The sequence below is a fragment of the Homo sapiens genome, chromosome 2, assembly GCF_000001405.40.
Source record: "Homo sapiens chromosome 2, GRCh38.p14 Primary Assembly".
NCBI lineage: Eukaryota > Metazoa > Chordata > Mammalia > Primates > Hominidae > Homo > Homo sapiens.
This window is the reverse complement of record NC_000002.12, coordinates 215,126,432-215,143,339: the sequence shown is the minus strand read 5'-3', so window position 1 is coordinate 215,143,339 and position 16,908 is coordinate 215,126,432. Positions and strand designations below refer to the sequence as shown.

General features: G+C 37.6%; 1 protein-coding gene across 3 annotated transcripts in view; it reads left to right on the top strand.

Moving 5' to 3' along the window:
- ABCA12 (ATP binding cassette subfamily A member 12) overlaps positions 4,714–16,908 on the top strand; it is a 207,085-nt gene continuing 194,890 nt past the window's right edge. For all 3 annotated transcript variants that reach the window (NR_103740.2, NM_173076.3, XM_011510951.3), the window contains exon 1: positions 4,714–5,200. Coding sequence is in view for 2 of the 3 variants with exons in the window: in NM_173076.3 (NP_775099.2) it covers positions 5,132–5,200 (69 nt within the window). In the remaining variant the exon portion in view is untranslated. The remainder of the gene's footprint in view (positions 5,201–16,908) is intronic.

The following is a 16,908-nucleotide window of genomic DNA, read 5'->3' as shown; positions in this document are numbered from 1 at the left end:
ATACATGCCAATCAGTTGTTCCCTTTCACTTCCCCCTGTACCTTTCCTTCTCCTCTGCTTCCAAAATATTACTGATCAGGCTGGGCGTGGGGGCTCACATCTGTAATTCCAGCACTTTGGGAAGCTGAGTAGGGTGGATCACTTGAGGTCATGAGTTCAAAACCAGCCTGGCCAATATGGTGAAACCCTGTCTCTACCAAAAGTACAAAAAATTAGCCAGGCATGGTGGCACATGCCTGTAATCCCAGCTACTAAGGAGGCTGAAGCAGGAGAATCGCTTGAACCCGAGAGGCAGAGGTTGCAGTGAGCTGAGATTGTGCCCCTGCACTCCAGCCTGGGCGACAGAGCAAGACTCCGTCTCAAAAACAAAAACAAAAACAAAAACAAAAAAATATTGCTGATCAGTTAGTGCTTGAAAGAGACTTCTCAACTAAAATGTTTGATTATTGATTTGAATTGAAATTATTGACTAGTTCCTTTACCCCCTAGCCTTATGCTTTCAAAGTAATACAGTAGTAGTTGCACATACAAAATGGGAGGCTGAGGGGGGCGGATCATGAGGTCAGGAGTTCGAGACCAGCCTGACTGACATGGTGAAACCCCATCTCTACTAAAAATACACAAATTAGCTGGGCATGGTGGCACACGCCTGCAATCTCAGCTACTCAGGAGGCTGAGGTGGGAGAATCACTTGAACCTGAGAGGTAGAGGTTGCAGTGAGCCGAGATTGCACCCCTGCACTCCAGCCTGGGTGACAGAGCAAGACTCCACCTCAAAAAAAAAAAAAAAAAAAGGAAAGAAAACCTGTGTGTTGCTCAAGATTGAGGGGACAGATAACTGGTTGACTTATTTTTCTTATATGTTGGAATTTGAAAATGCTAGAAATGATCATTTTCTAGCTTATTTAATAAAATTAATCTTTTCTAAGATAGTTTTTGTTGTGCCCAAGAGAATGCATGCTATAGAAACCTTTACTATTGGGATATTCTTTTTTAAATTGCTCTGGGAACAGGCCAGTCATCAAAGACTAAAACACATGCAAAAATTGGCTCGTTGTATTTTTTCCATGAAGAAACAAGCGATAGTAGATAAATATATAGATTTGTCTTTTAAGCTGCTTAAGGTGTTATGAGGGGGAAAACATAAATTGAGAAGAAAAAAATACTATTTTTCATTTTCATTTTTCCTTTAAAATGGAGAATTGATTATTAAAACTTACATTGCAAAGAGGAGGAGATGATCTTTCTGAATACTCTACGCTATATCTTTCCATCAGTTTAAATAGGTTGGCCAAAAATTTCTAAATTTTACAGGCATCAGTTTTTTTTTCTTAGCCTCACAAGATTATAGCTACACATGTAGTAAAATTAATTCAACATCACCAGTTTAAGAAAATGATTACTCACCCTGAGTGAGTGGATGAATAATTCTTCACAAGATGGGAAATCACCCTGAAATTGCCATACTCACATGGCTCAATGTAAGATAATCAATTGATTTACAAACTTGGTCCCTGACATGACTGTGTTATTTGTGATGAGAAATTCCATGCCATTGAAATCACCTTGGAGGGATAAGGTGCTCTGTAACAGCTTGGAGTGAGCGAGACTTTTTAAAGCTCCCTTGAAATATGTCTTCTTTTCGGGTTTTGTGGATCAGATTTTTACCAGTTGCTTCTTGACACAATTCTTTTGTCTACATTATCATTGGAGTGTCTCAGTGCTGAAAACTTGAAAATCCTGAATCTGATACCTTCCTCACACCCACCTGCTTCATAGCATCAGCTATCAACCTCTTACATCGCAAGTGGATCTTAGGCAATGAGGTATTAGCAACTGGTGCCTCATTATGGTAATCCTTGGGTGGAGTCCCACCCTTCTTATAAAAGAAGGATGCTGTTATTTTTACCATGAGTTAGCTTCAATTTCCCAACTTGTTGCACATTTCCACCTAGGTTAAATGTGTGCACTTGCTGTGTTTTCTTACCCATGCTTGCTTTATTAGGGCCTGTTGGAGAACAGGTTTTGCAGACACAGAAACCTGGGTTCAAATTAATGTTCTGACACCCATTATCTGTGTGACCTCAGGAAGCTACTTGTCCTATGCATCTTCACGTATACAGCAGGTAAAATAATGTTGACCTCACAGGTCCTGTATGCAATGAGTATCCCATAGCACCTTAATGTAAAAGTCAGTTGATGGTAAAACAAACAAACAAACAAAGTTGTCACTGATGCTATACACAACAACCAGTGCTGAGACAAAGGAGTAAAATTATAATCTGGTTGCTGTTAAAATTTCTGAACTGTTTTACATCATCACTAACTCAATTCACTTGTTTTTTCTATTCAAAAACAGGGTTTCAAGTCTCAACTTCAATCAGTTTCTCATTCTACTAACATTTTCATCATCCCACAGCATCGGCTTTATCATACTCTATCTCTTAAGAAGAGTTTCCAGGAACTTTTCATTTTAAATCCGCAATATGACATCTCCTCCTCTTTGGCTTTAGGTCCCTAACTCTCCAACTTTATCTTCTACTACTTCAGACCAGCTCTTAGATTTAGTTGGGTCAGAATTCTCACCATTCAGGAATACAGAATTTATCTCAAAATTGTGGTGTTCCATGAGACTTGGTCCCTGTACTCAAGGGGCTCAGAGTATGGACAGAGAGACAGACTGACTATACTAGAAGGTAATAAGGGAGTTGGCTATCTGTGCGAACAAAGCTTTATGGGAAAACAGATGAAGGGGTGATTAATTCAGCCGGGGGTGGGGGTGTGGTGGGTGGAAGTGCTGGAAAAGGCTTCAGAGGGGAAGTTACACTTGAGTCAGTCATTTGAGAATGAGCACAATTTCATTTTGGGCAGAGGGAACAGCATGACCAAAGCCTGAAAGTGAACAGTCCTCATCTAAAGTATTCTAGCAGATGGCAGGAGGGAGGGCTGAAGGTGGAGAGACAACTGATGAAGCTGGCAAGAGCCAGGCTGGGAAGTGCCGTGAGGCTCTATGAAGAAGCCTAAAAGAGCAGCCTTCCTTCTCCTGAATTCCTGGAGCAACTACTCTTTGTGAACTCATTTTGGCCATAATTTTTCATGCGTGTACTTACAAAAAAATCTCTACAAGTGATTTATAGACCTGCCTAGAGAAACAGGGAAAATCCCTGATGTTCATTTGTTTCTCAGCTCTTCCTGTGAAGTGTAATACATGGGACTGGAGAAAACATAGCACAGAGATTAACAGTACAGAAACGAGGTTCGAGTTCCTTCTCTGCTGTTCCCACTGTCCTCACTGCTAACTAGGTGAAATCCAGCAAGTTATGGCACTTCTAAATATCACTTTCTTTCACTGAAAATGGGAATAATGACAGTTTCTATATAATAGGACTCCTAGGATGATTCAATAAGTCCTTAGCAAACATTGCTACCCAATTAATAGAATTAATTGACTACTTACTATGAGGCAGGACCTGTGCTAGATTCCTTTTTTTGGAGGGGGGATGGAATCTCACTCTTTTGCCCAGGCTGGAGTGCAGTGGCGCCATCTCAGCTCACTGCAACCTCTGCCTCCCGGTTTCAAGCGATTCTCCCTCCTCAGCCTCCCAAATAGCTGGGATTACAGGTGCCCACCACCATGCCTGGCTAATTTTTGTGTTTTTAGTAGAGACGGGGTTTCACCATGTTTGCGAGGCTGGTCTTGAACTCCTGACCTCAAGTGATCAGCCCGTCTCGGCCTCCCAAATTGCTGGGATTACAGGCATGAGCCACCGCACCTGGCGAAGGGAGAACTCTTAATGCTTTAACGGATTTTGCAAGTAAAGTCTGGATTAGTCAGGGTAGGTGTGAGGATCAAAGGGGAGCTTCACCCTACTAGCCTTGGCTCCAGTAGTTTATTCAATTACATTCAGCAGCAAGTATTGAACACTAATGATATGTAAAGTACTGTGATATAAAATAGTCCATGTCCTCAAATAATTTATAATCTTGTAGGAAAAATAAGACATACACAAATAAAAATAATGCAAAAACTTTAAGTTCCTTGAGAGAGGGCAACAAAGAATGATTCAAAGGCAAGAGAATCTATCCTATGGGATATATCCAAAAAGGCTTCATTGAAGATGTCAACTTGGGGATAACTTTGAAAGGCAGGATCTTAGAGAGGGAGGAATGTATCATGGAAAGAGGAAATAGAAATGTCTTGGATCAGCCTGTGTCCCCTTTCACTATAAGAGCCTGAAACAATGTGGCTTGTCTGTAATAGACACGTGAATCTCCACTCACGAATTGAGGGACTCCAGTTTGTAATTTATGTCCCCTACAGCCTACCTTTCCTTTTCTGCCCTGTGCTTAACCTAGTACATTGTGATGAAAGGTGGGACCTGGCCAACATAGTTTCTTCCCCCAAAATCGAAACATTCAACTTTAGGTTAAAGGTGGACACTTTCCCTAGTATATCTAATGATGGGCTGAGGCTCAGAGCTTTGCAGCTAAGCTCTGGCCTTATTGACTTAAATCATTTTAATGACACTTTAATATTAAAGAGTCACTGGGCCCAGTGTCTGTGAAATGCTCTCTGTGCCCTGCCTCTGCTAGAGCAGACACTGTGTGCAGGAAAGAAGACAAGAGAATGTAGGACAAGTCCTACTGGCCTTGCAAAGGTCCCACCCCCTAGTCCCTGTGACGCATCCAGTGCAGGTGACATGTTCTCTAAGGTGTGGATAGGCAATTAATTTCATGGAGAGTAGGAGGTGTGGGTTCAGCTGCTGCTTTTTTTTTTTTTTCAGTGAGGCATTATCTGAATGATGCTCATTCTCTCTTGAGTCTGGACTTCGTGCAACAAGCAGCAACTGGATATTATTTTAAAATAAGCATAAGCCACCCAAAGATACTGATCTGGGTCCTTCTTTTGGAAGAAGAGTTGATTGAGAAGTGCCTCTTGGTTAAGGATTAACCACAGGGAAAAATCCAGCAGAAACAGAAGAACTGTGGGTTTCTTACCCCAGCCCTCAAGGAAGCTATGCCGTGAAAGGGGTACTGATACACTGACATACAGCAAGTTGGACGGGGCATCAGTTCTTCATTTGTGGAGTGGAGAAAAGAAGAGGAAATCTCTCATTTGGGGCATTTGAAGGATGGCTTCCCTGTTTCATCAGCTTCAGATCCTGGTCTGGAAAAATTGGCTAGGTGTAAAAAGGCAGCCGGTGAGTTAAAAAAAAGTGTGGGAGTATGGGTCATGGGGCAATACGCCAGGTAATCCTAAAATGTGATCTTAATGAGAAGTGAAAACAGAAGAGTTTAAAGGCATTTTCCAAAGCAGGAAGTAAGATATTTAGAATTCATCCCCCTATCTGTCTTATAGCTAATGGAGCGAGTCTTAACATGCCCCCAAAAGCAGCCTTTTCATTTCAGTAAATTAAAGAGTAAACCAGGACATGCCCTGGGCAAAAAAAAAAGAACATGACTCATTACTGGCTGAACTGGAACGTTGAATTCTGGTTTCAAGCCAAAAGGCTTTCAGAATTTTTCTTAATGTAGTTAAAAATGGGATAGAGGAAAGAAAAGTATTATTTGAAATGTACAATAAATGGGAAGAAATATACTGGAAAACTGAAAGCCATAGAAAGTTTGGTTGAAAGGTAAAATACAGAACAGAAATAGTTTGAAGGCTATTAGTATAGAAAAGCTACTGAGAAATTTTAGTATCTAAAAATCATTTACTGGGAATACCAAACAAGAGTATGTATATGTGCTATGTTTTAAGAATATTATTGAATCACTTAGCTTTACTACTACAATCTATCTTCTCTTGCTCATTGCAACGTCTTTTTTGTACTCTTACATTAATGTTTGCGTTCTAATTACAAAGTTAGCTATTAGATCCTCATCAGATGGCTCCCAGGATGATTGAGAAAGGAATTGGTTTCTGGGAGTTGTTATATATTCAGAAGAATGTTTGAAAATCGGGGAAATCCAAAAAGGTATTCAATATACTTTATTTTAAAGTGGTAATTCCCAGCCTTGAATGAGTAATGTAAATATTATGCAAATAATATGCATCACACAGAAACCAGCACTTTATCTATGCACCTTATCTCGCTCCAGGCTTGCTTGGATTGCCTGACACTTTACTTGAGTGTTTTGATGTGTGTAGTAAGAGGAGGAAGTAGATGTTCATTTACCCTTGTGAATTTTGTGGGTAGGGTTTTAAAATTCTAAGGCATGTGATTGCATGGGTGTGGGGTTTGAATATAAAATTATAAACTCATTCATGTTTTTATTTGTTTTTTAACTGGAAAAAAAAAAGCACAGAAGAAAACCTCCCCATAATTATCATGTGGTTGATTCTGTGTGGCATAAGCAGGGAAAGGATCCTGGGTGTGTGGATGTGGTCATGTGGTCAGAGCATGCGAGTTGGGGCCCCTGCCACTGCTCCTCATGTAACTTAAGTAGCTTAAGACAGTTTCTCTAAGCACTGTTTTTCCCACCATGATGTGGCATGATGAGTTAGACGTGACATGATTAGTTAGATGTGGCATGAAGCCTGCCACATCTAACTCATTGGGGGAAGTACCAAATGTGCTAATGTATTTCAAAGTGCTTTATAATACTGACACACTTAGCAAATAGATTAGTGAGGGATTTGAGGCAATGTGTGTCATATTTTATGCAGATTAATAATGAAAGGAAATTCAGGAGAAGATACTGTGGGTAAAAGGAAGAAATCCACGTACAGTCAAGTTTGTAAGTGATAAAAATTCAATAGCTAAAAACAAAAACACAGAGGAACTAAAATCTGTACGTGTTATTGTCAATAATCTGAATGCTGAGGTCTGTTTCTTTTACAACTCTATTTTGTGTAAAAAAAGTTATAGGAAAAAAAAACACCCAAATCTCAGGTGAAGATGTTTGTTTTTCATTGAGAAATTTTATCTTTAGAAATTTTAATGACAAATTTTTTTCCTCATTTTGAAAGTAGTAGGTATATCAATTTTCTCCTTTGGGGTTTCTCTTCATTTTAGTCAGTGTTTGTGGACATGGTGAAATATTTAGGGGAGATGTAAGTCAGATATTAAAAGTTTTTCAAGCATGACACCTTGCATTATTCCCATCTAGTCAAAACCCCTAAATAAACTCTGGTAACTATACTTTTCCTAGGGAGGGAGAATACATGAGCCATTAGTTCATTTTGGGACAGGGAATGATTCAGATCTTAAGTGCACCTTAAACAAATGGAAACCAGAACAGATAAGTCTTCACGGCAGAGTGAGGTCAGAGAAAGTCCAAAATTTGGGACAATACAGAGGCCAACCTGAATCCATTATAACCAACCAGAGGGACAAGAGAGACCTGTAGAAGATGGTGATGCAAAAGGAAAAGGAAGGACAATTCTGAGTGGAGGGGGAAAGGGCAAAGAAAGAGAAATTTCCTTCACAGTTTCGCCTAGGGTCAGCTCTGTCTCTCCATGTTGGGAAAAAGACTTGAAGACACGTGTGGGAAGGATATATGTGCGATGGCATTACACTTAAAAAGGAAGAGAGGAATAAGAGGTTGGAAAGTTGGAATTAAAGATCTAAAGGGGGATAAAATGAAAAAAATTGTCTAAAGAGAAATTATAGGCAAATTAGAAGACAGACAAAATGTGAAATGAAGGTACATATGAATTTGAGGAGAAGAGTGTTTTTGTAGGAACTAGACTTGGTTATCCATCAAATAATAATTTAAAATGCAAGCATTTATATTTCTACATTCATAATCATTCTAAAAATTGTACTTTCAAAGTATACTTTTACTCACAGCAAAACAGAAATTAAGCTATGGACACAGGAAATTTATAGTCCTTACTTAATGGTAAAGAAAAATGGAAGCATCACCACCATGACAACTTTGCCTAATATTTTTTAGAAATTCCATCACAAAGCAAGGTGGTGGGAAGACTAATTCAAAAGAGAAGAAGTTAAGAATCTATTAATGGAGAAACAAATGGCACATGAAAAAAGCAAAGGAAAACAAAGATATAGTAAAAATATTAAGGTAGATTGGAGATAAATGAGGAAATGTGTTGATTATAAAAGTATATGCTGGGGCTGGGCGCAGTGGCTCATGCCTGTAATCCCGGCACTTTGGGAGGCCGAATCAGGTGGATCACTTAAGGTTAGGAGTTCAAGAACAGCCTGGCCAATATGGCAAAACTCTACTAAAAATATACAAAAATTAGCTGGGTGGGATGGCAGGTGCCTGTAATCCCAGCTACTTGGGAGGCTGAGGCAGGAAAATCGCTTGAACCTGGGAGGTGGAGGTTGCCGTGAGCTGAGATTGTGCCACTGCACTCCAGCGTGGGTAACAGTGAAACTCTGTCTCAAAAAAAGAAAAATAAATAATTTTTTTTTAAAGTATATGCTGGCCAGGTGCAGTGGCTTATGCCTATAATCCTTTGAGAGGCCAAGGCAGGTGGAAGACTTGAGCCTAGGAGTTCGAGACCAGCTTGGGCAACATGGTAAACCCTGTTTCTATTTAAAAATACAAAAATTAGCTGGGCATGGTGGCGCATGCCTGTATTCCCAGCTACTTGGGAAGTTGCGGTGGGAGGATTACCTGAACCTGGGAGGTCAAGGCTACAGTGAGCCTAGATTGAACCCCTGTACTCCAGCCTGGACAAAAAAGTTTGACCCTGTCTCTCTCTCTCTCTCTCTCTCTGTTTGTCTCTCTCTCTCTCTCTCTCTCTCTATATATATATATATATAGAGAGAGAGAGAGAGAGAGAGATTATATATATACACACATATATACATATACGTATATATGTACATATATACGTATATATACACATATACATACGCATATATGTGCATATATACGTATATATACACATACACATATGCATATATGTACATATATACGTATATATACACATATACATATATGTACATATATACATATATACACATATACATATATGTACATATATACATATATACACATATACATATATACACATATACATATATATGTACATATATACATATATACACATATACGTATATATGTACATATACATATATACACATATACGTATATATGTACATATATACATATATACACATATACATATATATATGCTAAAATAGAAAATGAGAAGAGAATTACAAACAGCTATACAATCCGAGAAACAGGATGAGAATAGCATAAGCTAAATATTTAGTTTGGCTATAAAAAAGGGAATCTTTAATTTTGGTGGTGACTTCCCTCAAAATTATTCTTGGAGTAAATGTCTCTCTCTTTTTTTTTGTAAAGTAAGATATCAGAATTCTGGAATATTGGGACATATCTAACTGACTTAATTTTACAGGGTCCTAGAATGCTCAAGGGACTTGTCCAAGGTCACACAGCAAATTTAAAGCTCAAAGTCAGATTTCTTCAAGCATGAATTTATTCTTTCCATCACTTCCTGATGCTTCTCTATTGCTGCTGAGTTGAGTTTTTTCTCTAACATTCTCTGATCCCACTTAACACTTAGCCCACCAAAGAACAGATAATATCTGCTAAGGAGGCCTTGGAAATTGATGATTTTTAATATCTGTGGTAATATCAGTTCTCAATTGTATTGCCAAAGAAATGAATACTAAAGGAAAGTAAAGAAAAATACATTAAGTACTAATAGAAATGTTAGGTAATAGAGAAAGCCAACCAGGTGCAGTTGCTAACCTGCTGGGCTTGTAATTTAACTTTAAAAATAATGAAATAATGAAGAAATATTCCAGCAGAGATGGTTAGCAATAGGAAGGCTTACCTAATGAGATGCTAGTTAATGACAGGGAAGAGTCCTGGGACAGCAAAGAGATTGCAGGCTGAAAGACTAGATAATATAAGAGTTTGTCTTCCATTAAGATGACGAAGTCTATGAGAAGTATGAGATTATGTAAAGTGACCAAACCTACACATTATTGGAATTCTTGATAGAGAAGGAGAAAAAGTAAACAACTTGAAAAACATATTTTAGAGAATAATTCAAGAAAATTTCCCCAATCTTGCTTGAATGGTAGACATCCAGATATTACCAGAGATTCGGATAAATTTAGAGAACACTTGTGAGAGTTCATACAAGCCAAACGTCACCAACTCATGTAGTCACCAGATCATCCAAAGTCCATACTAAAAAAAAAAAAAAAAAAAAAAAAAAAAAAAAAAAAAAAATTAAAGCCAGCTAGAGAAAAGAGTCAAAGCACCTACAAAGGACAACTGGTTAGACTAACAGTGGACTTCTTGGCAGAAGCCCTGTAACGGAAAAGATGAGGATCTATTTTTAGCCTCCTTAAAGAAGAAAAAATGCCAGCTGGAATTTTATATCCTGCCAAACTGAGCTTCATAAATGAAGGAGAAAGTCTTTCCCAGACAAGAAAACACTAAGAGAATTTGTCATTATTAGCCTGGTCCTACAAGAAATTTTCAAAGGATTTCTAAACATAGAAACAAAAGGACAACACAGAAAAAGATACATAAGTACAAAGCTCACAGATCTTGTAAAGCAACTGCACAATAGAAACCTCAAAAGAACTAGCTAACAACATTACATCAAGAACAAAATCTCACGTATCAACATTAACTTTTAACATAAATGCCTCAATGCCCTGCTTAAAAGATGTAGAATGGCAAATAGGATTTTAAAAAAGACATGGCCATCTTCTGTCTACAAGAGACTCACCTACTGAGTAAAGATGCATTCAGACTTAAAGTAAAAAGGTAGAAAAAGATATATCACACAAATGGAAAAGAAAAGCAAGCAGGAATAGCCATTCTCATATTAGATAAAACAGACGTTAAACCAACAACAGTTAAAAAAAAAAGACAAAGGCATTGTGTAATGATAAAAGGCTCAATACAACAAGAAGATTCAACTATCCCAAGTATATATTAACCCAATACGGAAGCACCCAGCTTTACAAAATAAATACTACTAGACCTAGGAAAACAGATTAATAGCAATACAATAATAGTGGTGGACTTCAACACCCCACTTATATTACTAGACAGATAATCAAGGCAGAAAATCAACAAGGAAACTCTGGACTTAAATTGGACTGTGGAGCAAAAGGACCTAATAGACATTTATAGAACATTATACCCAACAACTGCAGAATATACATTCTTCTCATCTGTGCATGAAACAGTCTCCAAAATTAACTGTATGCTTGTCCAAAAGGGAAGTCTCAATAAATTCAAAAAAATTGAAATCATATCAAGTAGCTTCTTGGACCACAGTGGAGTAAGATTGGAAATCAATACTAAGGAGAAGCTTTCAAAACTATACAAGTACATGGAAACTAAACAACTTTCTCCTGAACAGCTTTTGTGTAAACAATAAAATAATGGCAGAAATTAAAAAAATGCAAAACAAATAAAAATAAAGACACAGCATACCAAAGCTCCTAGGATATAGCAAAGGCAGTGCTAAGAGAAAAGTTTATAGCATTAAATGCTTACATCAAAAAGATAGAAAGCTCTCAAATTAACAATTTAACATCACACTTGAAGGTACTAGAAAAACAAGAGCAAAATAAAATAAAAGCTATCAGAAGAAAAGAACAACACAGATCACAGCAAAAATAAAGGAGATTCAGGCCAAAAAAAAAAAAAAAAAAAACAATAGAAAGGATCAATGAATGAAAAGTTGATCCTTTGAAAGGCTAAACAAAATTGACAGACCACCAGCTAGACTAAGGAAAAAAGAAAGATTCACATAATTACTAGAAATGATAAAGATGACATCACAACTGTTACCAGAGAAACAGAAAAGATCATCAAAGACTACTGTGAATACCTCTATTCACACAAACTAGAAAACCTAAAGAAAATGAATAAATTCCTGGAAACATACAACCCCCAAGATTAAACCAGGAAGAAATAGAAACCCTGAACAGACCAATAACAAGTAATGAAATTAAACCAATAATAAAAAAAATCTCCCGATAAAAAAAGCCCAGGACAAGATGGATTCATGGCCAAATTTTACCAGATGTACAAAGAAGAGGTGGTACCAATCTTGGTGAAACTATTCCAAAAAAAAATCGAAGAGGAGGGCTCCCTTCCCATCTCATTCTATGAATCCACCATCACCATGCTTATCAAAATCAGGCAAGGACACAACAACAACAAAAAAGAAAACTACAGGCCAATATTTCTGCTGAACATAGATGCAAAAATCCTCAACAAAATACTGGTAAACTACAACAGCACATGAAAAAATGATTCACCATGATCAGGGAAGCAAGGATGGCTCAATATACACAAATCAATAAACATGATCCACCACATAAGCAGAACTAAGCACAAAGACCATATGATCATCTCAATAGATGCAGAAAAAGAATTCCATCAAATCCAACATCCTTTCGTGATTAAAAAAAAAACCCTCAGCAGACTAGGCATAAATGAAACATACCTCAAAATAATAACAGTCATATATGACAAACCCACAGCCAACATCACGCTGAATGGGGAAAAGTTGAAACATTTCCCCTAAGAATTGGAACAAGACAAGGATGTTCAGTCTCACTACTCCTATTGAACATAGCACTGAAAGTCCTAGCTAGAGCTATCAGGCAAGAGAAAGAAATAAGAGGCATCCAAATTGGAAAAGAGGAAGTCAACTTATCTCTGTTCAATGAGATGAACAGGTATATGCCATGATCATATACCTAAAAAACCCTAAAGACTCCTCTAGAAGTCTTCTAGGCCTGGTTAGTGACTTTAGTAAGTCTCAGGATACAAAATCAACATACTCAAATCAGTAGCATTTTTCATACACCAACAATGATATATCTGAGAACCAAATCAGGAACTTAAGGCCATTTAAAATAGCCGCACAAAAAATACCTAGACATATATTTAACCAAGGAGGTGAAAGATCTCTACAAGGAGAACTACAAAACAGTGATGCTTTAATTTCTTTAAATTGTAGATAACACCAATAAATGGAAAAACATTCCATGCTCATGAGTTGGAAGAGTCAATATTGTTAAAATGACCATATTCCCAAAGCAATCTATAGACTTAATGTAATTCCTAACAAATTAGTAACATCATTTTTCACATAATTAAAAAAAAAAATCCTAAAGTTTACATAGAACCAAGAGAAAGCCCGAATAGCCAAAGTACTCCTAAGGAAAAGGACAAATCTGGAGACATCACATCGCCTGACTTCAAATTATACTACAAGGCTATGGTAACTAAAACAGCATGATACTGATACAAAAATAGACACAGATCAATGGAACAGAATAGAGAACCCCAAAATAAAGCCACATACCTACATCTGACTGATCTTCAATAAGGCTAACAAAAATAACAATGCAGAAAGGACATCCTATTCAATAAATGGTGCTGGGTAACTAGCTAGCCATATGCAGAAGAATGAAACTGGATCCCTATTTCTCATCACATACAAAAATTAACTCAAGATGGATTAAAGACCTAAACATAAGACTTAAACTATAAAAATCCTAAAAGAAAGCCTGGAAAAACTTTTCTGGACATTAGCCTAGGCAAAGGATTTATAATGAAGACCCCAAAAGCAAATGCAACAAAGCAAAAATAGACAAATGGGACTTAATCAAACCAAAATGTTTCTGCACAGCAAAAGAAATAATCAACAGGATAAGCAGACAATCTACAGAATGGGAGAAATTATTTACCAATTATGCTTCTGAAAATGAATTAATATCTAGAATCTATAACGAACTCAAACAAATCAACAGAAAGAAAACGAACAACCCCATTAGAAACTGGGCAAAGGATATGAGCAGATGTTTCTCAAAAGAAGAAATACAAGTGGTCAACCAACACATGAAAAAATTCTCAATATCATGAATCATAAGAGAAATGTAAATTTAAACCACACTGAGATGCCACCTTACACAAGTCAGAATGGCTGTTACTTAAAAAGTCAGAGTGGAGCCCGCGGCAACTCCTGCTCACACTGGATGCAGATCAGGCAGCACCAGGGACATGACCTGGAGACCTGAGATCAGACACAGACCTTCTGAAGGAAGTGGACTGCTCCTGAAGGATCCGAGACCCTTCCAAAACTGTGAGTGCCCCAACTGTGGAAGTGGAAAGGGAGACTCCCCTCTCCTGATCACACACCTCCACAGGAGAAGCTGAAGGCACTGGTATCCATGGCTGAGAGACCATAGACAGTTCACATCACAGGACTCTGTGCAGACAACCCACAGTACTAGTCCAGAGCCGGGTAGAATAGCTGGGTTGCTAGACCCAGAAGAGAGACAACAATCACTGCTCTTGGCTCACAGGAAGCCACATCCACAGGAAAAGGGGGAGAGTACTACATCAAGGGAACACCCCATGGGACAAAAAAGTCTGAACAACAGCCTTCAGACATAGATCTTCCCTCTGACAGAGCCTACCCAAATGAGAAGGAAACAGAAAACCAATGCTGGTAATATGACAAAACAAGGCTCTTCAACACCCCCAGAAAATCACACTAGTTCACCAGCAATGGATCCAAACCAAGAAGAAATCCCTGATTTACCTGACAAAGAATTCAGTAGGTTAGTTATTAAGCTAATCAGGGAGGGACCAGAGAAAGGTGAAGCCCATTGCAAGGGAATCCAAAACATGAAAGAAGAAGTGAAGGGAGAAATATTCAAGGAAATAGATAGCTTTAAGAAAAAAAAATACAAAATTAGGAAACTTTGGACAAACTTTTAGAAATGCAAAGTGCTCTGGAAAGTCTCAACAATGGAATTGAACAAGAAGAAAGAAATTCAGAGCTCAAAGACAAGGTCTTAGAATTAATCCAATCCAACAAAGACAAAGAAAGAAGAGTAAGAAAATATCAACAAAGCTTCCAAGAAGTCTAAAATTACGTTAAATGACCAAACCTAAGAATAATTGGTGTTCCTAAGGAAGAAGAGAATTCTAAAAGCTTGGAAAACACATTTAGGGGAATAATTGAGGAAAACTTCCCCAGCCTTGCTAGAGACCTAGACGTGCAAATACAAGAAGCACAAAGAACACCTGGGAAATTCATCACAAAAAGATCTTTGCCTAGGCACATTTTCATCGGGTTATCCAAAATTAAGATGAAGGAAAGAGTCTTAAGAGCTGTGAGACAGAAGCACCAGGTAACCTATAAAGGAAAACTTACCAGATCAACAGCAGATTTCTCAGCAGAAACCCTACAAGCTAGAAGAGATTGAGGCCCTATCTTTATAGCCTCATCAAATAAAACAATTATCAGCCAAGAATTTTGTATCCAGCAAAACAAAGCGTCATATATGGAGAAAAGATATAGTCTTTTTCAGACAAATGCTGAGAAAATTCACCATTACCAAAGCACCACTACAAGAACTGCCAGAAGGAGCTCTAAATCTTGAAACAAATCCTGGAAACACATCAAAACAGAACCTCTTTAAAGAATAAATCACACAGGACCTATAAAACAAAAATACAAGTTAAAAAGCAAAATAAAGAAAGTACACAGGAAATTAAAAGCACAGTGAATGCAATGGTACCTCATATTTCAATACCAACAATGAATGCAAATGGCCTAAATGATGCACTTAAAAGATATAGAACCACAGAATGGATAACAACTCACCAACATCTGCTGCCTTCAGGAGACCCATCTAGCACAAAAGGAGTCACACAAACTTAAAGTAAAGGGGTGGAAAAAGGCATTTCATGCAAATGGACACCAAAAGCAAGCAGCGGTACCTATTCTTGCATCATACAAAACAAACTTTAAAGCAACAGCAGTTAAAAGAGACAAAGAGGGACATTATATAATGGTAAAAGGCCTTGTCCAAGAGGAGAATATCACATTCCTAAACACATAGGCACCTAACACTGGAGCTCCCAAATTTATAAAACAATTACTAATAGACATAAGAAATGAGATAGGCAGCAACATAGTAATAGTGGGGGACTTCAGTACTCCACTGACAGCATTAGACACGTCATCAAGGTAGAAAGTCAACAAAGAAACAAAGGATTAGACTATACCTTGGAACAAATGAACTTAACAGATCTGTACAGAACATTTCATCCAACAATGGCTGAACACACATTCTATTCAACAGTGCATGGAACTATCTTCAAGATAGACCATATGATAAGCCATAAAACAAGCTTCAGTAAATTTAAGAAAATTGAAATTATATCAAGCACTTTCTCAGACCACAGTGGAATCAAACTGGAAATGAACTCCAAAAGGAGCCTTCACAACCATGCAAACACATGGAAATTAAATAACCTGCTCCTGAATGAACATTGGGTCAAAAACAAAAATCATATGGAAATTTAAAAATTCTTCGAACTCAACAACAATAATGACACAACCTATGGAAACCTCTGGGATACAGCAAAGGCAGTGCTAACAAGAAAGCTCATAGCCCTAAATGCCTACATCAATAAGACTGAAAGAGCACAAATTGACACTCTAAGGTCACACCTCAAGGAACTAGAGAAACAAGAACAAACCAAACCAAAACCCAACAGAAGAAAGAAAATAACCGAGATCAGAGCAGAACTAAATGATATTGAAATAAAATTACAAAAGATAAATGAAACAAAAAGCTGGTTTTTTGAAAAGATAAATAAAATAGACCACTGGCAAGATTAACCAAGAAAAGAAGAGAGAAAATCCAGGTAACTTCACTAAGAAACAAAACAAGAGATAATACAACTGACACCATTGAAATACAAAAGATCATTCAAGGCTACTATGAACACCTTTCTGCACATAAACTAGAAAACCTAGAAGAGATGGAGAAATTCCTGGAAAAATACAACCCTCCTAGCTTAAATCAGAAAGAATTAGATACCCTAAACAGACCAATAACAAGCAGGGAGAATGAAATGGTAATTAAAATATTACCAACAGAAATAAAGT